This window comes from Homo sapiens, chromosome 8 (assembly GCF_000001405.40).
Source record: "Homo sapiens chromosome 8, GRCh38.p14 Primary Assembly".
Lineage (NCBI taxonomy): Eukaryota > Metazoa > Chordata > Mammalia > Primates > Hominidae > Homo > Homo sapiens.
In genome coordinates, this window is record NC_000008.11 from 20,664,191 (window position 1) to 20,687,181 (window position 22,991).

Below are 22,991 nucleotides of genomic sequence, written 5' to 3' on the forward strand. Positions count from 1 at the left end.
GTCCCTAGAAGACCACAAAGGTTTAGGGACAAGAGAATGGGGTTGAGGTCTCACTCTGTCTGTTTCTCCAACCCTATCTCCTTATATGCCCACAGCCACATCTATCTCCACATCCACTGTGTGTCTGCAGGGGCACATTCACAATATTTAGTGACCGTGGTATTAAATAGCCTGGGCAATCACCCATCAAAATGTCCAGAGGCTGTGGCACTCCAAAAGAGCCCTGAGGTCCCCTCCTATGCTGGGCACTACCATTGTGATTATTGGATCTTGGGGAACTTGGAAGGTCCCAGAGGACAGTGGCTGTTTATCAACTGGTTTAGAGGCATTTCAACATTTTAACAAGTACAACCACATCAGATCATACAGATCACAGAAGTGCTTAGCTGTATTTGTGCAATATATTGGCCTCAGCCTTCAAAATTGACTCAGATAGTTATTATCTTCAGCAGAAAGGTATGCTGGAGGCTTTCCAGAATCATTCATCCTGTGTAAGAAATGGAGAGAGCTGAGTCTTAATCTCAGTTTGGCTACTAACTTGCCTATGACCTTATTAAGCCAGGCACTTAACCTCTGTGAGCCACAGTTCATTCATATGCAAACAAAACAAAACAAAATAACCAACTGGCCTGTTTCTTTACAGATTTATCCACATCTACATTCTGGAAAGGAAGAATAATGAGAGGAAGGATGATGAGAGAAGAGACAGAAGAATGGTAAGAGCTAAGATTTGGATCACAGCCAATGATAACAGTCTCTTTCATCTGTACAGGATTTTACAGTTTCTTGAGCATTTTCATTATACCAAAACAAACTGTTTCCAGACTGTTAGTGTGTGTGTGTATTCTCCACAATAGAAAGTTCAGAGCTCGTAGCATAGCCTAAGAGAAGAGACTGACACACATGAAATAAGAGTAGAAAAAGATTGATGAGTGCTGGAGTGGTCAGGGAAGTTTGCATTGAGGAGGTGGGATGGGTGCTGGACCTCATCAAATCAAACTGTGATGGCATTTTATAGTTTAGGATTTCTGTCTGTGTATAATATTCCTGGGTCATGATTTTTTCGCCTCAGAACTTGGAAGTATTGCCCCTTTCTTTTCTGACACTGGATGTTGCTCTGGAGAGAACTGAAGACACCTTTGGTTTCTCTTCTTCCTTTTTCTGCAAGTATAACTAAATAATTCCTTTCTTAATCCTTGAAGTTCAAGAATGTAACCAGGATATCTCTTGGGTTTAGCCATTCTGTATAAGTGTTTTCTGTGAATGGATGTGCTTTTATAATTTACCCCTTTTATTCAGTTCTTTTTTCATTTAAGGAAATTTAGCTTTAAAATATCTTTGAATAATTCTTGTCTGTATTTTTTGAGTTCTCTATTTCAGGAACACTTTTTATCCATATGTTGTATCATTTCTGTCTTCCCTTGATATCTGTTACTTTATCCGCAATCATCCTATCTTCCCCTTTCCTTCCCTTTGCATTCACTGAGGAATTTCATTTTGAGGATTTAATTAAAATTTCAGTCACGTCTATTCTGTTCTTGGCTGCTCTAATTATTCGTTCTGTAATGATATTGTTGTGGTCCTCAATCAGTTCCCTTAGTTCTGCAATGTCTCTTTTCTTCTCATTCTGTTCTCTTGGCATGCTGTCTTAAAGCCCTTTATAAAACAGATAATTCATGTTATTAATATTATCAAGTTATTCCATAGCCTGAACCACCTGCTAGAACTTTTCTTCTGTTCCTTGGGTTATGTTTTCTGCCGAGTTGTTTCTCTGTCTCCTGTAGCCCATGCTTTCCTTCGGGATTTTCCTGTGATAGGTTCCACAACCACCATGACATGCCCACCTCATCCTCTTGCTCATGTAAGGATGGGGAACTCTGACTGCTGTGGTACATTGGGACAAATGCTTCTAAACATGTTTCCTATCTTATTGAGACAGTTTTGGTTTCCCCTTTAGCCAAAGTCTAGTGGTATTATGTTCTTACCGCTTTTCGGTTTCCCAGTGCTTCAGAGCCAGTTGAAAAGTTGAGGTGGATCTGTGAGAAAGTTTGTTAGATAATCTGGGCCCTAGTCTTCTGAGATTTTCAAAAAATAAACCATTTGAGACCACCAAATCTGATCAAGGGTACATCTTACTTATGTCAGGAAATACCCTGTGCTTTGGAATATTTCCCTAATTTAGACTATAATCAAAAAAAAAAAAAAAAAGGTAAATCCAAGTAGTTTTTCTGCCTCTACTAAAATGGAATGTCAGTTAGGATTAACTTGCCCTTGTTTTCTTATGTACACCCTGCAGCTAATAATATCACAGGGATTTTTGAGGCTTAAATAGAATATTGCATGTGCTGGGTTATTGTCATGACCTAGTAGATACTCAAAATATGTTAGGAGTGATGATTTTACTGCATTAGTAAATGGATATTCTCTTTCAGAGAATGTGTCTTTATCTTTGCCCAGGGCTACATACTCACACTTTAATTCTATGTCTTTTCAAATGGGGTTGTATTCTTGAGATTTTTATTAACAACATTGTTTGCCTCATGTGACCTGTTGGGTGCATGAAGGATGAAGCATGGAGTTAGGACTTCTGATGGGCGATGCCCAACCCAAATATTCTCTTGATTTTCTTGGCAACCACTACTCAAAATTTAAGACATAAGATTATGTCTTATTTATTTTTGGTTACTGATGATGAAAATGTTGTTACCGATGTTAGTTTCAATAGGTAATAGGGTGGGATATTGTTTATCTTCCTCCATTCATCATGTCTATCTATAAGCTAAAACAGGGTTCTGGAGGTAGATGGGAGAGAGGCAGGCATTGCAGGCAGAGGCCTGAAAGAGGGAAGGAGCAGAGGTAGGGATGGGCAAGAGGAGACAGTGCAGGCAGGGGCTGGTTTGCAATGAAGGGAGTCATGGGTGATGAGCCACAGTGGAAGGAAGCTAGACTTTTGTGGCTAGTCATAGGATTTTTTTTTTCTTCTTCAGATGGAGTCTCACTCTGTTGCCAGGCTGGAGTGCAATAGTGCAATCCCGGCTCATTGCAACCTCCGCCTCCCAGGTTCAAGCGATCCTCCTGCCTCAGCTTCCCGAGTAGCTGGGACTACAGGTGCATGCCACCACGCCCGGCTAATTTTTGTATATTTTTTAGTAGAGACAAGGTTTCACCATGTTGGCCAGGGTGATCTCGATCTCCATCTCTTGACCCTGTGATCCACCTGCCACGGCCTCCCAAAGTGTAGTCATAGGATTTTGGAGCCCCGAAAGAAAAGTTGAGATAAGTGGTAGAGCTAGGACTAATATTTGGAATGTTGGTCTTCACCTACCGTGCTCTCCTGTGAGTTTGTCTGTTGGCATGCTGTCTCTCCAGCAGTGAAACTGTTGGCTTTCATGGCCACATGGCCCTGAGGTTCTAGCTGGGGTGAAGGCACACCTCTTGCTATTTCTTCCTCTTCAGTAAAATAGAGACCACAGGATGAGGAGATAGATGCAGAAGATACCACAGTTCAGCCTGGTTTTTATTTAAGGTTCTTGTTTTGCTAGAGATAGATGTGGCTGGGAGATCACCTGGTTCTATGAGTCCAAGTTTCATCTTGCTTCTGTAATTTGGGGATCAGGCTGCTCCAAGAATCACTTCTAATGACACACCCATAACTCAGAGTTGTAATGTCCATCTGGGCATCAGAGATGAAGATAATTAATTCGTGACTTTTAAGTACTGTGATTTTGTTCATGAAGTCCAGATAATAGTTCTCCTAAATTAAGAGATCCCAAAGTCATTAACCATCCATGTGTATCCAAAGCCAGGATTGAAGCTTGGTATATATTAGGTGCTTAGCAGATGTTTCTTAATTAAGAGAGGAAAAGATAGACCAGTTAGCCCCCAGAAGTTACAGAATATCCTTTGGGTCCCCTGCTTTCCTCCCACCCTATCGCCCTCTCTAATATAGAGTCAAATTCTTCCCAAGAAGCTTGAATCTGCCAGAGGAGTGAGGAATCTTCTAGCAGGCGGGTTATTTTAAATCTTTAATAGACATATTACCTTACATTATGGCTTCATCATCCGCCCCTCAGCGTGAGCACAAAGAGAACATCCATCACAATTAGTGTAACATCCCAAACACATAAAAAAGATGAAAATGTGCAGCTACGTTGGGTATAAAGGAGCCCAGCCTTTCTGAGCAGATTTTTGTTGGACCTCGGGCACACAGCCAGACGAGGATGCTGCCCTCCCATGGGCCAAGTAGGAGATGAGGGTCTGCTTCAAGCCCAGTAGGTTATTTCTGTCTGTCCTCCTCCAGAAAAGCAGAAGCTTCCAGAACTGAGCTGAGGCTGTCACTGTCCTCCACAAAGCTCTGCTCTCATTTCTATTACTGGCCACTCAGAGGACATTGGCCAAAACCTGAGGTCCCTGGTTCCAGGGCAATCAGAAAAAAACATTTTATGTACTGAGCCAAATTCTGTATGAAGATCTTCCACTTCTGTTAGCTCATGGAAGTCCTTTAAGCACTATGTGAAATATTACGGTCCTTTTTGCAGAGAAGGAATTGGCTAAAAAATTTTCTGTGTTATACAGAAAGTAATAAGTGACTCATACACCCATCAGTCTAATGACAAAGGTTATTTTCTTAGAATATGGTTACTGGTCAAGACAAGTGTTCATAGAACTGAAGTTGGAAGGAAAGAAGATGCCACTCTCATTTTGGAGGCAAGAGCAGTGCCAGTCACGCGGCTGCCAACACCTGGTGTCCTTTTCCATTTCTCTTTCTTTTGCTCTTCACCTGTGTACAATTCTTCATAATGCCCTCCAAACTATTGCTTGTATGTTTCAGTGTTTGCATAAATTTATATAGGCATATATACAATTATTTATCTCCCTTTTGGGCTCATGCAGAGTTGAGTTAATCACACACTTCAGTTCTTAGCACTATCAACATCATTCACCACAAGGCTCCTCTCCCATTTATTTTCCCCTGTTCAGTCCCTGATTCTCATTCCTACTCCCCTCACCTGCCTGGACACCTGCTCTGATGTGCTGGATATGTGTTCTTCTAGTATTGTGTATGTTCATGTGCTTTGGTTGACATAAGCAATATTTGGTAATAGGCCTTATTTTGCTTCTAATTTTTTTCCATTTAGATTTAGCTACATTTGCTCTGAAGGCATCTAGCTCATCGCTTTGAACTCCTGCGTGCTGAGATGCTATGCCTCCACACATTTTATTTGTCCCCCCTCCCTGAAGACAGGCCCTCTAGATTGCGTTTGACTCTTGGCCACCTCAGACAATACAATGATTTAACCAATACCAACATCCTTGTCCCCTTGGGCTCTGTACTAAACTTTACCTGGCTATTCTCAGTTCTTTGATTTTCTACAATTGTTTTGCTTGTTTACGTTCTCATCACCCCTTGTCTGGGTCATTACAAAGATCATCCTGCCCAGACTCCCACCTCTCCTGGCAGTAAATTCTGCTCTTACTTAAGGCTCAGATAAGCCAGTTGCCCACCTGTGCTTGGTCTCTTCTCAGCTCCTCCATGATATAATTTCTGTACTATAAAAAAAATAAAAAGTAAAAAATAAAAAAATAAAAAAATAAAAAATAATAAAATAAAAAAAATTTCTGTACTAGTCATCTGGCGTGCAGACCACAATCTGAGATGATAGATGATTAACTGTAGCAAATGCAGTGGTTTTCTACCTGGTTAGGTTTTGTTGTTCTCAGCTGCAGAGGGAGTAGCCCATTCATGTCATCGTAGAGCCCGGTATCCTCTACAGTACATATACAGTATACCTAAAGGGCTCTGCAGGTACACACACTGGAGTCTAGGTTTTTGGCTCATTGCTACCCTCTGCCTCTGTGCCAGGGAAGGAGTCCCTACTCATCTGGCTTAGAAGCAGATAGATGGAAGCTCATCACCAGCAGATGGATGGGGTCATAGAGAGCTGGTGAGGGGGTGTCATAGAGAGCTGGTGAAGGTGGGTCAAGAAGCAATAAAGAGACTTTTCAAGCTTTTTGGTGCTGCCAGGTACTAATTTTGACACAAAGTGCTAATAGGCATGAATTATGAATTGGCCTCAATCCTTGGTGACAGACATGTGCATGTAAGCCTCTTTGATCCTACGAGCAAATTTGTGTGTGTGTGCGTGTGCACACGTCTGTGTGTGTGTGGTGGGTCAGGGAAGGAAAGGATGGAGGCATGGAGGAGCTGGACTATGCCACAGCTGCTTTGGAAAGACAGGGCACAAAATAGGGGTTGGATGTAGACCCTCTCCTAGCTGTCCTGCCTCCTTCTTCCCTGAGATATCCTGAATGGTAGGTGCAGCTGGAAGGATCAGGAAGTGGTTCTGCCTTTCAAGCAGCCAAAGCAAAGTGTGTTGAGCAGTAAGGCCAGAGGTGTGTGAGAGGTGTGTGAGGCAGGACAGTCTTCTTCTTGGGATGTTCATTCATTTGAGTTTTAATCATGCCTATAATATTGCTTTCATTTTCTGATTGTTTTCCTGAATCCCAGGATTTCTTCATTCACTTTCTTCTCTAAATATGACTGAATGCATTCACCCTCTCTCCTTCTAAAAGGGTTACTAATTTGGAAGTTTCTTAGCCAGGTCTCTCTTAGCCAAGTCAGAACGAGTTGTTAGCTCCCTGGACTATCTTCCTGGTAAATGTGGATTAAGCATCTTTTCTAGAGCAATTTCATAAGGAAGCTGTAAGAACCAAATAGAATAGTAGGTGTCAAAGTGCTACATGCATTATAGCTATAAATATGCATTGCAGTTTGTATTCTACTTAGCTTTTGTTTTATCTTAATTTTTTTCTTTTTTTCACTTATATTAATAAGACGGGGATTGGCTTTTCTCTTAGGCTAGTGCTCCGTTCCCCAGCCCCAAACCTGTACAACTCTGCCACTGCACAAACACACACCTCCTTTACTGTTCACTAGGGAACAGTGAAGTTTATGCCAGCAGACTCCTAAATCTGTCATAATCTATAGAAAGAGACTTGGCCCAAGAAGGGAGATAGAAGGGGTTGGGTGGGATAGAGATGCTAAATTGACCTATACGATAAGGAATTGAGAGAAGGGAAGGAGAGAAAGAGAATAGAAGCCGCTCAGCTGGGGCTCTGGGGGAAGTTCTAGGGCTTGTGTGCAGAGGGCTCTGTAGGATGGGAGAGAATTGGGTAGTAGAAGAAAGGGCTTTAAAAAGAGTTACTGTGGCTTATTAATTAGATCCCTTTCACAGTCTTAAAGAGATGTAAATAATGCTTGTGATTCCTTCCTAATTACTATTTGGTAGTGGGACTTGGCTCTTTAAAGATGAGTCCCTGCAGAGACTGTGTAATATAACAGATCATTTATCACATCACGATGAATTTAAAGCTATTCAAGTTATGATTTTTTTATATTTGTAACTAGGCAGAACATTGTGTGGACCCCCTGCGAAGTGACGCTGTGCGGTATTTGGGAATGGGCAGTCGGGAGGGCAGAGCCCTTGGTCCTTTTAGCTAGGGTCCCCGTGCGGGCTGGATGCCGTACCCAAGAACCCGCTACCTAGGCTCCAGGTCTGGGCCAGCTTGTGGGTTTCAGCTGGGAGTCTCTTGACAGCTGTTAGCATTTCCAAGGCCACATATTGAGCCACATGGCTGTGGCCCTGCCAGCTAAAGAGCACCCTGATGTTGTCACCAAAAGAATCAGAACTACTCAGCAAACATGTGATGCAGGGGGGAGTAGCTCTGTTGGAGTGATGACCCCAAGTCCTAGCCCCTGTTCCACTGCTGTGCTGTGGTGAGAGGAATGGGGATGATACCTGCTAACATGGATGAGGGGGAAGCTGGGACTGTGCAAGTCCCGTGGAGGTAAGTGAGTGAATGATGACGACATTAGATGCAGTCGTGTGATGTTGGATCCCTGTCCATTGTCAGGGAAGGAGGCCAGTTCTTGAGCTGATGCTCTGGTCAGTGTCCCATGGGAGGATGTCTTTGAACCTTGCAGACAGCACGGATTCCTCAATCCTGGGAAAACCTGGCTACTTTAGGATAAGCACCTTCTTTATCATATTGCTTCCCTACAGTCATCCCCAGTCATAAGTTTTGATAAGGATCATAACCAGAAGCTAAGTAAAGCAGCCATCAGAAACGACGTAAGTGTGTGTCTGCAGCATTTTCCAGGGATGGGCATGTGGCTGATCTGAGATGGTCTGGAATTGTTCTGACCAATCCCTCTCATCCTGTCACCTTAAAATCCTCCTCCACACCCACCCACACCAGATGTCAGTAACACCTGAAAAATGGTCTTCTGAGCTGGTTCTTAGTCTGGTCTGTACTTTATTCAGGTCTCATGCAACAAAGGTGTGTTCTAATTTACAGTAGAGCATAATGGTTAGGGACAGAGATTTTGGAGCCCACCTGCTCAAGTTGAGATCCCAGCTCTATCAGTTAAAATCTGTGTGATATTAAGATATTGCTTAATCTCTCTGGGCCTGTAAAATTGAATTAATGGCAGTATCAAACTCACTAGTGTTTGTTGTGAAGATTCAATGAGTTAGTACTTGCAGAATTAGATGAGGCCTGGTGTATAGGCAGGTTTGAGAAATTATTGTAGGCATAGCTAAGTGTAGAACAATGATTGTGGAAACATGGTCTAGGGCGAGCCATATCAGAGTCTCAGTAGGGCCAGGAGAGGGAGAAGGAGCCTATTAAGACTGAAGATGTTTGAGATCTGCCCCAGATAGGGGAACCAGAATCTCCAGGAATAGTGCCAAGTGTTGACACTGACAACCAGCAATCCAGGCGATTCTGAACTAAAGTTGGAGAACCATTGTGATGGGTAGAATTTTACAGATGCCCCACCCCACTCCTACCACAAAATACCTGCTACTGGTTATCTGAACATGAATCTAGGTGCTTCTAGGAAGGGATTTTGCAGATGGAATTAAAGCCCCTAGTCAGTTCACTTTAAAATATGGAGATTATCTGGGTGGGGGCCTGCTGTAATCATAGGAGCCCTTTAAAAGGCAAAAGACATCAAACAGATTTGGCAGAAGGGGTTATTCTAACCCTTACTGGTTGTGAAATAGAGCAGGGCACGTGAGGAGCAATGAAGGCAGCCTTCAGAGGCTGAAAGACAAGCTCTTGGTTGACAGCCAGCCAAGACCTGTGACCTCAGTCCTACAACCACAAGGATCTGAATTCTGATGACCAATTGTGTTAGGTTTCTCCAGAGGGACAGGACTAATAGGATATCTGTATATAAGACAGGGAGTTTTTTAAGGAGAATTGACTCACAGGATCACAAGGTAAGTCTCTTGATAGGCCGTCTGCATGCTGAGTAGCTAGGAAGCCAGTAGTGGCTCAGTCTGAGTCCCAAAGCCTCAAAAGTAGGGAAACTGACAGTGCAGCCTTTAGCCTATGGCCAGAGGCCCAAGAGTCCCCAGTAAACCACTGGTGTAAGTCCAAGAGTCTGAAGGCCGAAGATCCTGGAGTCTGATTTTCAAGGGCAGGGAGCATCTAGCATGGGAGAAAGATGAAAGCTGGAAGACTTAGCAAGTCAGCTTATCCCAATTTGTTCTGTCTGCTTTTTCTAGTCGCACTAGGAGCTGACTGGATGGTGCCCACCCACATTGAGGATGGGTCTTCCTCTCCTAGTCCACTGACTAAAATGTTACCCTCCTTCAGCAACACCCTCACATACACACCCAGAAACAACACTTTGCATCCTTCAATCCAATCAAGTTGACACTTCATATTAACCATCACACCAACTGAGTGAGCTTGTGAAAAGAACACAGCTCTACTGACACCTCGAGACCCCAAGCAGAGAACCAAGTCCAGCCACCCAGGACTTCTTACCTGCAGAACTGTGAGACGATAAATGGGTGCTGTCCTTACTGGCTTAGCTGGTGTCAATTACACAGCATTAGAAAACTAACATAACAAACACCACTTTGTTAGACTTGTATTTGCTCTCTAAGTTTGTAAGACTTGTAAGACTGTAAGAAAGATACTCGGCTTGGGATATCCTACTGGATATATATCCTCTGGCAAGTTACTGAACCTTTTTTTTTCTTCCTCCATAAAATAGTGACAATAAACTTAACAGAATTGTTGAGAAAAGAAAGTGAAATCAGATACACAAAAAGGCAGTTGGAGGGTAAAATTCTCTTTATACAAAATAAACATTCCAAATTTTTTTATTTCCAAATATATTCTCTCCTTTGAGGTTTATTCAAAACAGCAGCAAACAAGCTTGTTTGTAAACTGAAGGAGTCCCCTGTAATGCTACATGGTTCTGAGGTTCAATGGATTACAGACCCAACTTTGATATGTACTCCCTTCACAATGCCTAGGGCCACAAGCCTTGGGCCATTTTTGCCCAGTGGCTGTGGGTCCCTGAGAAGCTGTTGCTGCACCTGCTAGAACAGCTCATCTGCTTTTGGAGGTGTTGTCTCCGCATTCAGAGCTCAGTGCTGCAGAGATTCCTTCTATCAGCCTGCAGTCCTTAAACAGACACTCTGTGCCTCTCTGGTGGGTATGAGTGAGCCATATGGAAAACATTTTTTCTCAGATGTTGTCATACTCCCAATACCACCAGATTCACTACTCTCCTTTAAGGGACATGCGTGTCTTGTGCAAATACTTTGATAAACCACTGGGTGAGGGGAGGACACCCTAAGGACAGCAGAGAACAACAGATGGGTGTCCTTGGATCAATTACTGAGCCATTTATTAGTGAAGTATGAAGGCATATCCAATGCTGATGGGATGGTATACTAGAAATGATTTTAGACGTTCTTCTCTAAAGGGGAGAGGATATGAGATCATTGCCTTTAGGAGAGAAGCTGTGGGGAAAGAACAGAGGCAAGAGCAGAAGGATGTACACCTCACATCTCCAGGGCCACCATCACATAGACTGTGATGTGCAGCCTTCTTAGAAATGTCTGATGGAAAGTTTCATGACAGTTCTGCTGTTTTGTGTGCTATGTAAAATCTCTTTCTTCTTGCCCTATGAAATCTAAGTGAAATCTGCACGATTTTTAATGTCCTGTTTTGGAGGAGATGGCCAACTACTATCCCGAGACTCAAGCTGGGCATGAGAAAGGAGCCAGGACCCAGCATAGGGAGGCCAGAAATCAGGTGCAATTCTTGAGCACCTTACTGTGTGTCAGGGATTGTGCTGAGCTATATAGAGGTATATATACATACTCCAGGCAAACTCTTAACCCTTCACCACCCTCTTGCAAGATATTTGTACTCCTGTTTAACAGGGGAGAGAGCGTAGAGATATTGAGTGTTGTGTCAATTCAACATAGCAGTCGATGGCAGGGCTGGGACTGAATTCCACTACACATGCTTCCAACTGCACTGCGTTGTCTGCCTTAAACATGAAATGAAATATAGGCAAGAGACTTGCAATTTTCTCATTTCATCAATAACTTCTAGAAATCCTGATGCGAGAGCACTTGGAAAGAGTCAAGCCCCAGGGAGCTTAGGCCAGCTCTCTCTCCAGTGTCATCAATCTTAGAGGAAGTCCTGGGATTCAGAGCGAGGCGTACCTGCTGAATGACATTGTCAGAGTAGTTGGGGGAAAACATTTCACTTTCTCTTCTTAATACTGTCTAACGGGGAGAAACAAATATCTTCACCTTTTCACCCTTTGAAACAGAAATCTATGCCCAGAATTTTCAAACAGCAGCTCAAGAAACAAATAATCTTTGTCTCTCTAATTTATCATTTTCTAACTTGATAATAGTCCTCATCCAGCGGGCCACTGTATTATAACATAGCATGTCAGATGGATCTCAAAGCTTAATGAATACAGAGAAATTAAACTCCCAAACCTGCTGATGTAAACACTCAGCACTGCCCACCCCCATCCTCTTTTTGGGTATATTTCTGAGCCATTAAAGAAATTAATTACTTTCTCTTCCATTTGCCTCGTAACTGAGGTCAGGCTTGAATGTCTAAGCAGTGCATGGCTTGGCCATCTGACTTTGCATCAGCGCAGGCGGAAATCACCTCTTAAAGTGAGGAGGCTTCTCTCTCCACTTTTTTGTTGAAGATATAAGAGTATTTTATAGAAACATCAGGCAGGGACCTGCCTTTATGATAATCATATGACTTAGAGCAAAAATAAATAATAATGCCTGGGAAGGAAAGGGAAGAAGCAGTGTTGGGCCCTCTATTGAGCTGTCAGGAGCTGCTGACAGAGCAGTTTGGTGACTAGAGGGAGCGGTGGCTGGTGGGAGGGAAGAGCATAGTGAGGACTGAGCAGGGACCGGATTGTATGAGAGGAAAGGTAGCCAGCATTTTGCAGACCTTGAAGTAACAAGAAGCAGCCCCCTTGCACCTGTGGGGGAACCATTCCCATGACTGACAGTAACACCTCACCATTGGTGGAGGGACCCAGGGAGACCAGTAGGTGAGGAGGATTATGTCTGAAGGCAGGAGGGGAGAGCCTGCAGGCCCTACATGGGGAGGAGTTGAGAGCATGGGCTCACCTTCAGGCAGACCTAGTTACCTCTCGCTTACTTGCAGTGAGACCCTGGGTAAGTTCTTACCCATGCTTGTTCCTGTAGCTATAAAGTGGGCATGATCACTCACTGCAGTTTTTATAAAGATCACATAAAATCCATCAGTGTAGCCCAATGCCTGATATCCAGCAGGTTATCCACAAATAACAAGTAGGTTTATTACTAAGGTTAATTCCAGTTATCAATGGAGGCCTTGGATTCCAGGATCAGGAGATAGGGACTGCGTGGCCCCTATGGAGACAGAACATGAGTGACACTCCTTACATCCAATGTGCAGAGGCTCCCTGAGGGCAGGGGCCTCCACTCAAACCCTGAGAAACCCAACTCTTCCTGGGACCATCCCAGAGAAGTCAGGCAAGGCAGGTGTGGTGCCAAAGGGAGGCATTTATCCATTCGGCCATAAAGAGTCATTGATGCCTTGCCAGGCACAGAGGGTGGAGTGGGGAATTAAAAATACAGACATTTTACAGCCTCTGACTTGAATTCACTTACAGTTCCAGCCAGGGAGACAAAATGCCTAGACAGGGAAGAGGGACAACAAAACAAAACTTACTATAGTATCAGGAAAGCACTAAGACTGATAAAAATACAGGAATGCCTCAAGGCTGATATGTGTTAAACCCAACAGGTCATTGATTCCCGGTGTGAGCAAGTAGGAAGATGAAATAAATAGGAAGCTTCCAGAGGGCAGGGGTCACTTTGCAGCATAATTTCAGTTGACCTTTTCTACTCTTGTCCCTGTCCCACAGACCAAGTGAGAACCATGTCAGGATCTCAGGCCTTTGGTGTGTGCTGGGATATCCATCCCAGCTACTGAGATTGACCCTGTGAGCTTTAGGCCTGGGCATGAAGTTGTTGAGGACAGGCAAGGGAAGAGGCCAGGGAAGTCTGCCAGGAGTCATAAGGGACACTGCTCTGGGAGGCAGAAGTTGTAACACTAGCTCTTCTTCTCCCAACTCACCATGAGAATTTGAGAAAGACCTTTGTCCTCTGCAGAATTCTAGTTCCTCATGCATAAAAACCTGAATAAAGCTGGCCATAGTGGTGACTCATGCCTGTAATCCCAGCACTGTAGGAGGCTGAGGTAGGAGGATTGCTTCAGCCCTGGAGTTTAAGACCAGCCTGGGAAATATAGTGGGATCTCATCTCCACAAAAGAATTTAAAAATTAGCCGAGCATGGTGGTGTGTGCTTGCAGTCCCAACTACTCAGGGGGCTGAGGTGGAAGGATCGCTTGAACCCGGGAGGTGGATGTTGCAGTGAGCCAAAATTGCACACCGCACTCCAGCCTGGGTGACAGAGCAAAATCCTGTCTCAAAAGCAAACTAACTAACAAAAAACAAAAAAAAGAAAAACTTGGATAAAGGATGCTGAACTATCCATCCTCTTAATTTTTCCCAACTGTAATACTTGAGTATATCAGGTGTGGAAGATTAGGTTCCCAGAAGTCACATTTCATCCCAACAGGGTGTCCTCTGACCCTGGTTTTAAGGACTCCCTCCTAGACTCCATGTCTCTTGCTCTGCAAGCTTCACCTGTCCCCTCAGGGACTCCGGCTGTCCCTGGCATCTACAGCTGGCTGCTCTGGGGCAACGGAAAGGTCAGATGCCTCCAGTTAATTTTTAATCATAGGTGGCAGATGTTGAAGCCCAGGATTTATGAATGCTTTTCATCTTAACCAACTTGCTGCTGGCTCCCAGCTATTCTCTCTCACCTGCTGCATATGATTTATACATCTGTCGCCCGCTGCAGTAAGCCAGAGGCTGAGCTGCACAATTTCCAGTGGGCTTGCCCCTTCTCAAATGCATTCTAGTTCTTTTGTGCTGTAACAATAAGCTTATTTGCTGAAAGACATGCGATCCTTTGGAAAACCACTCCCATTCCACACTCCTTTCCTAGCTCACCAGCTTTTCTCCTCTTCATCATCCACAGTTCTCCCTCTCATCTAGCCCTCTAGAGAACTGCAGTTGCCCTTCAGGAAGCTTGCACTGATGGATTCAGAAGAGTCAAGGCCTAGTGAATTTCAAGGGTTGCTGGGAGAGACCTGCTGAGTTCCCACTTTTTTTTTTTTTTTTTTTTAAGCACCCAGGCTGGAGTACAGTGGTGCAATCTTGGCTCACTGCAACCTCTGCCTCCTGGGTTCAAGCAATCCTCCTGCCTCAGCCTTTCAAGTATCTGGGATTACAACCGTGGACCACCACACCAGGCTAATTTTTGTACTTTTAGTAGCGACAGTTTCACCATGTTGGCCAGGCTGGTCTCAAACTCCTGACCTCAAATGATCTGCCCACCTTGGCCTCCTGAAGTGCTGGGATTATAGGCGTGAGCCACCACGCCCGGCCCCACCTCTCTTCTTGGACCTCAGGCACCAGGTCCATACTTCCTCCCTTATATGGCTGAGATGAGTCACATTTAAATCGGGTCTCAGAGACAGACCCCAGGTTCCTGGAAAAGATTTCTAAAGTGATTTTAATGCATCACGGTGTTCCTCTGTAGCTGGCACTAACTGTAGTCTGCTGAGAAAGAGGTCTGTGTCTTTTGGCTAAGAAAGTGCTACCCATTCTCCTTTCCCCATTTATGTTCTTGAAATGAGGGTAGCTGATGAGGTGCAAGGTTAAGAGAAGGGTCAGGCTCTTGAGGAGATGATCCCACCAGTTGCGTTCCTCTCTGAATCTCTTCTGGTCATGGGACCTTCCAGGTGGAGGGAAGAATGGAAAGAGTATCTATTAACCCTTAATTGTAGAGCTGGACATTTTACATCCCTAGTGCAAAAGAGTTTCCATAGAACAGGCAGGTAATATCAGCGAGTGAATTGACTTTCAGTATAAGTGAGACAATGAGGAATGGTGAGGTCTGTAACAATCTGGAGAAAATAAGTTCTGTACACAAGAAATGGTTACTACTTAGTTTTAAGGGGTTAATTTCTTAGAGAAGTATAGGCATAAGGTTGCCAGATCTTCTGGTATTTCAAGAGCATATAGAAATATAGATTTTTAAAATGTGCAATCTCTTATTTATAAGCAATTGACCAATAATTCAAAAAATAGAAAACATTATGCAGCATTCTGCAGGCTAAGCAAAGTACATCTGCTAGCCAGATTGCTCCAAAGAGCTCCTGATTTCAACTTTTCCTTTACATGTTTGATCTTACTACTATCAACAATGCTAGAAGATGGGTTTTATTATCTCTTCTCATAGTGGAAGAAACTGAAGGTCAGAAATGTCAAGGACTTTGCCTGGAGCCATACAGATGGAAGAGAAGGGGCTTAGAAATAGGCCTGTCTTGGCCAGGTGTGGTGGCTCACTCCTGTAATCCCAGCACTTTGGGAGGCCTAGGTGGACTGGTGACTTGACATCAGGAGTTTGAAACCATTCTGGCCAACATGGTAAAACCCTGTCTCTACTAAAAACACAAAAATTAGCCAGGTGTGGTGGTGCATGCCTGTAGTCCCAGCTACTCGGGAGGTTGAGGTCGGAGAATCACTTGAACCCGGGAGGCAGAGGTTGTAGTGAGCCAAGATCAACCCACTGCACTCCATCCTGGGCAACAGATTGCTGCCCTGTCTTGAGGGAAAAAAAAAAAAAAAAAAAAAAAGAAAGAAAAAGAAAAAGAAATGGGCCTGCCTGGATCTTCTGCACAAGTCTTCTTCTCCCTCCAGGGAGGAGGCCCTCTGAATATCCACTGAGTGCCCCGCCTTGCTTGCCCAGAATGAGGCAAGCACGGATATTTCTACTTTACCTTCCTCCCTCACATGCTCCAAGGCTTTCTAGGACTTAGTGAATCTTTCTATAAATTTTGCCAGTTTGACCCCCAAGTACTTGAGAACTTCAGAAGCATCTGCAGAAAAATCAACTTATTTCTGAGTCATTGTCCTTGCTAGGGCTCATTTAAGTGCCGCTTGTTAAGTCCTAAATAGTGTTAATTTTTCTTTTATCTACTTATTTTGTAGCCACTACCTGACTTTTTTTTTTTTTTTTTTTTTTTTTTTTTTTTTTTTTTTCCCCCCACATGGAGTCTCACTCTATCACCCAGGCGGGAGAGGCAGGAGTGCAGTTGCACTATCTCGGCTCGCTGCAACCTTCGCCTCCCAGGTTCAAGCGATTCTCCCGACTCAGCCTCCCAGGTAGCTGGGATTACAGGTGTGTGCTACCATGCCCGCCTAAGTTTTATATTTTTAGTAGAGACGGGGTCTCACCATGTTGGCCAGGCTGGTCTCGAACTCCTGACCTCAAGTGATCCACCTGCCTTGGCCTCCCAAAGTCCTGGGATCACAGACATGAGCCACTGTGCCCGGCCTTGACTTTTATATAAAGAGAATAAAGACAAATTCCTAGAAGTTCCAAGTCAACCAATACATAAAGAATCCAATCAGATTTTCTTGGTTGCCACATAGATTTGGAGCTTACAGGGGACTAGGGAGCTGGCAATTTCCTGAAATATGCCTGGCACTGTGCTTTGCTCCTCTATGATGTTATTTAACCTAATTCTTTATGATCCTGTGGATTGGGAATTATTGGCCTCATTTTACAAATGAGATAATTAAGCTCATAAAATTTAAGTAACATGCCTGAGGTCACACAGTGCAGATAGAGGCAGGACTTGGGCCTTGAGCTGCCCAACCTCAAATTAAATACTGCAACATGTTGCCTAGGAATCTTATAGTAAATCTGTCTGTACTGATCATGAAACAAGTTGCTGAGGAATTCTATTTTTAAATTCTGCTGTTCCATTGGGCCAGAAAAAAAGGAAAATAAAATGTAGTTTGGATTAACAATATAAATGTGGGCTTTGTATACACAGAACTAAAAGCAGGAGAAAGTCAACCTTACCCTAACCCTTCTTGAAATTTATCCATCATTCTCAAAAAATTTATCAATAATACATTGTGAGTTAGCACAAAAATAATAAATTGTACTGCTTTATGAGAGTGGAGGAATCTATAATTGTATAATTCCATACCTCTTACACGTTGTGCTGGTGTTGTCTAAATTGCATTATTATGTATGCTACAAGCCCATGGTTCATTGCTATTGTTTTTGCTTTACAAAGTTAGTAATCATTTATGTTGTATATGGTGTATTTATATGTCAACTTAGAATTTTACCCAGTGGATGTATACTTCATTATTTATATATAAAAATACATCATATATGGAATATATAAATATATTTATGTATATAAATACATTTGTAATTATACATATAACTATATGATTAATGTATTCACATATAAGTAGCTATTAAACATATTAAATTAATGTGGTATATAACATGTATTAAATACATTAAATGTAATTATGTATATTTACATAAAAATATATGTAGTATGTTGTATATAACATACTATATATATTATGTATACTCACTGGATAGAATTCTAAGTTGACAGATTCTTATTTCGGCACTTTATTTTTTATTTTATTATTATTATACTTTAAGTTTTAGGGTACATGTGCACAATGTGCAGGTTAGTTACATATGTATACATGTGCCATGCTGGTGTGCTGCACCCATTAACTCGTCATTTAGCATTAGGTATATCTCCTAATGTTATCCCTCCCCCCTCCCCCAACCCCACAACAGTCCCCAGAGTGTGATGTTCCCCTTCCTGTGTCCATGTGTTCTCATTGTTCAGTTCCCACCTATGAGTGAGAACATGCGGTGTTTGGTTTTTTGTTCTTGCGACAGACCAAGAACAAAACATTCTCAGTAAACTGAGAATGATGATTATTGAGAATGATGATTTCCAATTTCATCCATGTCCCTACAAAGGACATGAACTCATCATTTTTTTATGGCTGCATAGTATTCCATGGTGTATATGTGCCACATTTTCTTAATCCAGTCTATCATTGTTGGACATTTGGGTTGGTTCCAAGTCTTTGCTATTGTGAATAATGCCGCAATAAACATACGTGTGCATGTGTCTTTATAGCAGCATGATTTATAGTCCTTTGGGTATATACCCAGTAATGGGATGGCTGGGTCAAATGGTATTTCTAGTTCTAGATCCCTGAGGAATCGCCAAACTGACTTCCACAAGGGTTGAACTAGTTTACAGTCCACCAACAGTGTAAAAGTGTTCCTATTTCTCCACATCCTCTCCAGCACCTGTTGTTTCCTGACTTTTTAATGATTGCCATTCTAACTGGTATGAGATGGTATCTCATTGTGGTTTTGATTTGCATTTCTCTGATGGCCAGTGATGGTGAGCATTTTTTCATGTGTCTTTTGGCTGCATAAATGTCTTCTTTTTAGAAGTGTCTGTTCATATCCTTCGCCCACTTTTTGATGGGGTTGTTTGTTTTTTTCTTGTAAATTTGTGTGAGTTCATTGTAGATTCTGGATATTAGCCCTTTGTCAGATGAGTAGGTTGCGAACATTTTCTCCCATTCTGTAGGTTGCCTGTTCACTCTGATGGTAGTTTCTTTTGCTGTGCAGAAGCTCTTTAGTTTAATAGATCCCATTTGTCACTTTTGGCTTTTGTTGCCATTGCTTTTGGTGTTTTAGACATGAAGTCCTTGCCCATGCCTATGTCCTGAATGGTAATGCCTAGATTTTCTTCTAGGGTTTTTATGGTTTTAGGTCTAATGTTTAAGTCTTTAATCCATCTTGAATTAATTTTTGTCTAAGGTGTAAGGAAGGGATCCAGTTTCAGCTTTCTACATATGGCTAGCCAGTTTTCCCAGCACCATTTATTAAATAGGGAATCCTTTCCCCATTGCTTGTTTTTCTCAGGTTTGTCAAAGATCAGATAGTTGTAGATATGCGGCGTTATTTCTGAGGGCTCTGTTCTGTTCCATTGGTCTATATCTCTGTTTTGGTACCAGTACCATGCTGTTTTGGTTACTGTAGCCTTGTAGTATAGTTTGAAGTCAGGTAGCGTGATGCCTCCAGCTTTGTTCTTTTGGCTTAGGATTGACTTGGCGATGCAGGCTCTTTTTTGGTTCCATATGAACTTTAAAGTAGTTTTTTCCAATTCTGTGAAGAAAGTCATTGCTAGCTTGATGGGGATGGCATTGAATCTATAAATTACCTTGGGCAGTATGGCCATTTTCACGATATTGATTCTTCCTACCCATGAGCATGGAATGTTCTTCCATTTGTTTGTATCCTCTTTTATTTCCTTGAGCAGTGGTTTGTAGTTCTCCTTGAAGAGGTCCTTCACGTCCCCTGTAAGTTGGATTCCTAGGTATTTTATTCTCTTTGAAGCAATTGTGAATGGGAGTTCACTCATGATTTGGCTCTCTGTTTGTCTGTTATTGGTGTATAAGAATGCTTGTGATTTTTGTACATTGACTTTGCATCCTGAGACTTTGCTGAAGTTGCTTATCAGCTTAAGGAGATTTTGGGCTGAGACAATGGGGTTTTCTAGATATACAATCATATCATCTGCAAACAGGGACAATTTGACTTCCTCTTTTCCTAATTGAATACCCTTTATTTCCTTCTCCTGCCTAATTGCCCTGGCCAGAACTTCCAACACTATGTGGAATAGGAGTGGTGAGAGAGGGCATCCCTGTCTTGTGCCAGTTTTCAAAGGGAATGCTTCCAGTTTTTGCCCATTCAGTATGATATTAGCTGTGGGTCTGTCATAGATAGCTCTTATTATTTTGAGATACGTCCCATCAATATATAATTTATTGAGAGTTTTTAGCATGAAGGGTTGTTGAATTTTGTCAAAGGCCTTTTCTGCATCTATTGAGATAATCATGTGGTTTTTGTCTTTGGTTCTGTTTATATGCTGGATTACATTTATTGATTTGCATATATTGAACCAGCCTTGCATCCCAGGGATGAAGCCCACTTAATCATGGTGGATAAGCTTTTTGATGTGCTGCTGGATTAGGTTTGCCAGTATTTTATTGAGGATTTTGGCATCAATGTTCATCAAGGATATTGGTCTAAAATTCTCTTTTTTGGTTGTATCTCTGCCTGGCTTTGGTATCAGGATGATGCTGGCCTCATAAAATGAGTTAGGGAGGATTCCCTCTTTTTCTATTGATTGGCATAGTTTCAGAAGGAATGGTACCAGTTCCTCCTTGTACCTCTGGTAGAATTCGGCTGTGAATCCATCTGGTCCTGGACTCTTTTTGGTTGGTAAGCTATTGATTATTGCCACAATTTCAGAGCCTGCTATTGGTCTATTCAGATATTCAATTTCTTCCTGGTTTAGTCTTGGGAGAGTGTATGTGTTGAGGAATTTATCCATTTCTTCTAGATTTTCTAGTTTATTTGCATAGAGGTGTTTGTAGTATTCTCTGATGGTAGTTTGTATTTCTGTGGGATCGGTGGTGATATCCCCTTTATCATTTTTTATTGCGTCTATTTGATTCTTCTCTCTTTTCTTCTTTATTAGTCTTGCTAGTGGTCTATCAATTTTGTTGATCCTTTCAAAAAACCAGCTCCTGGATTCATTAATTTTTTGAAGGGTTTTTTGTGTCTCTATTTCCTTCAGTTCTGCTCTGATTTTAGTTATTTCTTGCCTTCTGCTAGCTTTTGAATGTGTTTGCTCTTGCTTTTCTAGTTCTTTTAATTGTGATGTTAGGGTGTCAATTTTGGATCTTTCCTGCTTTCTCTTGTGGGCATTTAGTGCTATAAATTTCCCTCTACACACTGCTTTGAATGCATCCCAGAGATTCTGGTATGTTGTGTCTTTGTTCTCATTGGTTTCAAAGAACATCTTTATTTCTGCCTTCATTTCGTTATGTACCCAGTAGTCATTCAGGAGCAGGTTGTTCAGTTTCCATGTAGTTGAGTGGTTTTGAGTGAGTTTCTTAATCCTGAGTTCTAGTTTGATTGCACTGTGGTCTGAGAGACAGTTTGTTATAATTTCTGTTCTTTTACATTTGCTGAGGAGAGCTTTACTTCCAAGTATGTGGTCAATTTTGGAATAGGTGTGGTGTGGTGCTGAAAAAAATGTATATTCTGTTGATTTGGGGTGGAGAGTTCTGTCAATGTCAATCAGGTCCGTGTGGTGCAGAGCTGAGTTTAATTCCTGGGCATCCTTGTTAACTTTCTGTCTCATTGATCTGTCTAATGTTGACAGTGGGGTGTTAAAGTCTCCCATTATTATTGTGTGGGAGTCTAAGTCTCTTTGTAGGTCACTCAGGACTTGCTTTATGAATCTGGGTGCTCCTGTATTGGGTGCATATATATTTAGGATAGTTAGCTCTTCTTGTTGCATTGAACCCTTTACCATTATGTAATGGTCTTCTTTGTCTCTTTTGATCTTTGTTGGTTTAAAGTCTGTTTTATCAGAGACTAGGATTGCAACCCCTGCCTTTTTTTGTTCTCCATTTGCTTGGTAGATCTTCTTCCATCCTTTTGAATTTTTCAGCACTTTAAATATATTATTCCAGTGGATGTAACTGGAGGTCATTATCTTAAGTGACACAAGCCAGGCACAGAAAGTCAAATATTGCATGTTCTCACTTACAAGTGGGTGTTAAAAACTGTGTACACATGTACATAGAGTGGAATGATAGACAATGGAAACTCAGTGGGGCGATGGGGTGGGACAGGGTAGATGACGGGAAATCAATTAATGGGTACAATGTAAACACTGTTGGCTGGGCATGGTGGCTCACACCTGTAATCCCAGCACCTTGAGAGACCAAGGCAGGTGAATCACTTGCCTGGCCAGGTTGGTGAAACCCTGTCTCTACTAAAAATTCAAAAATTAACCAGGCATGGTGGTGCCTGCCTGTGATCCCAGCTACTCAGGAGGCTGAGGCAGGAGAGTCACTTGAACCTGGGAGGTGGAGGTTGCAGTGAGCCAAGATCACGCCACTGCACTCCAGCCTGGGTGACAGAGCGCGACTCTGTCTGGAAACAAACACTGTTGGCTTAGGCCACACTGAATTTATAAAAAAAAATTCTTCAACAAATTAAACTTAGCTTACTGAGAAGTAAATAAAATATCATTCCATTGGCTTCTGTTCATCATTATTTACAGAGAAAAGTCAGTCATTATTTTTATCACTGTTCCCTAGTATGTGTCTTTTTTCTTTGACTGCTCTTAGATCTGCTGTTTACTACTACTTTAGGCTGTTTGATTACAGTGCACCTGAGGTGGAGGGGCTCTTTGTAATTATCCTGCTTGGAGTTCCTTGACCTTCTTAGGTGTACAGGTTGATGCCTTTGAACCGTTCATTAGCCTTTGTATCCTCAAATGTTTCTCCTGCTTCACCATCTCCCTTGTCTCTTCTGGGACATTCTACACATTACTTATATTTTAAAGCATTTGCTGTTGTATGCCAGATCTAGGATGCTCTGTTCTGTTTTTCTTTCACCCATTTTGTCTTTGTGTTTTCGTCTGAACACTTTCCATTGATGTGTCTTTAAGTTCACTGATCTTTGCCCTTACCATGTTCAGTCTTCTGCTAATCCATTTAATAAACTATTTCCAGTATTGTGTTTTTTATTTCTTGCATTTTGATTTGGTTCTTTTTTATAGCTTCCATGTCTC

The 22,991-nt window shown here is 42.3% G+C and overlaps 1 long non-coding RNA gene across 1 annotated transcript in view; it reads left to right on the forward strand.

Moving 5' to 3' along the window:
- The first annotated feature begins 645 nt into the window (after positions 1-645).
- LOC105379315 (uncharacterized) overlaps positions 646-22,991 on the forward strand; it is a 283,462-nt gene continuing 261,116 nt past the window's right edge. Inside the window, exon 1 of the long non-coding RNA XR_949569.4 lies at positions 646-716. This is a non-coding gene — a long non-coding RNA (uncharacterized LOC105379315). The remainder of the gene's footprint in view (positions 717-22,991) is intronic.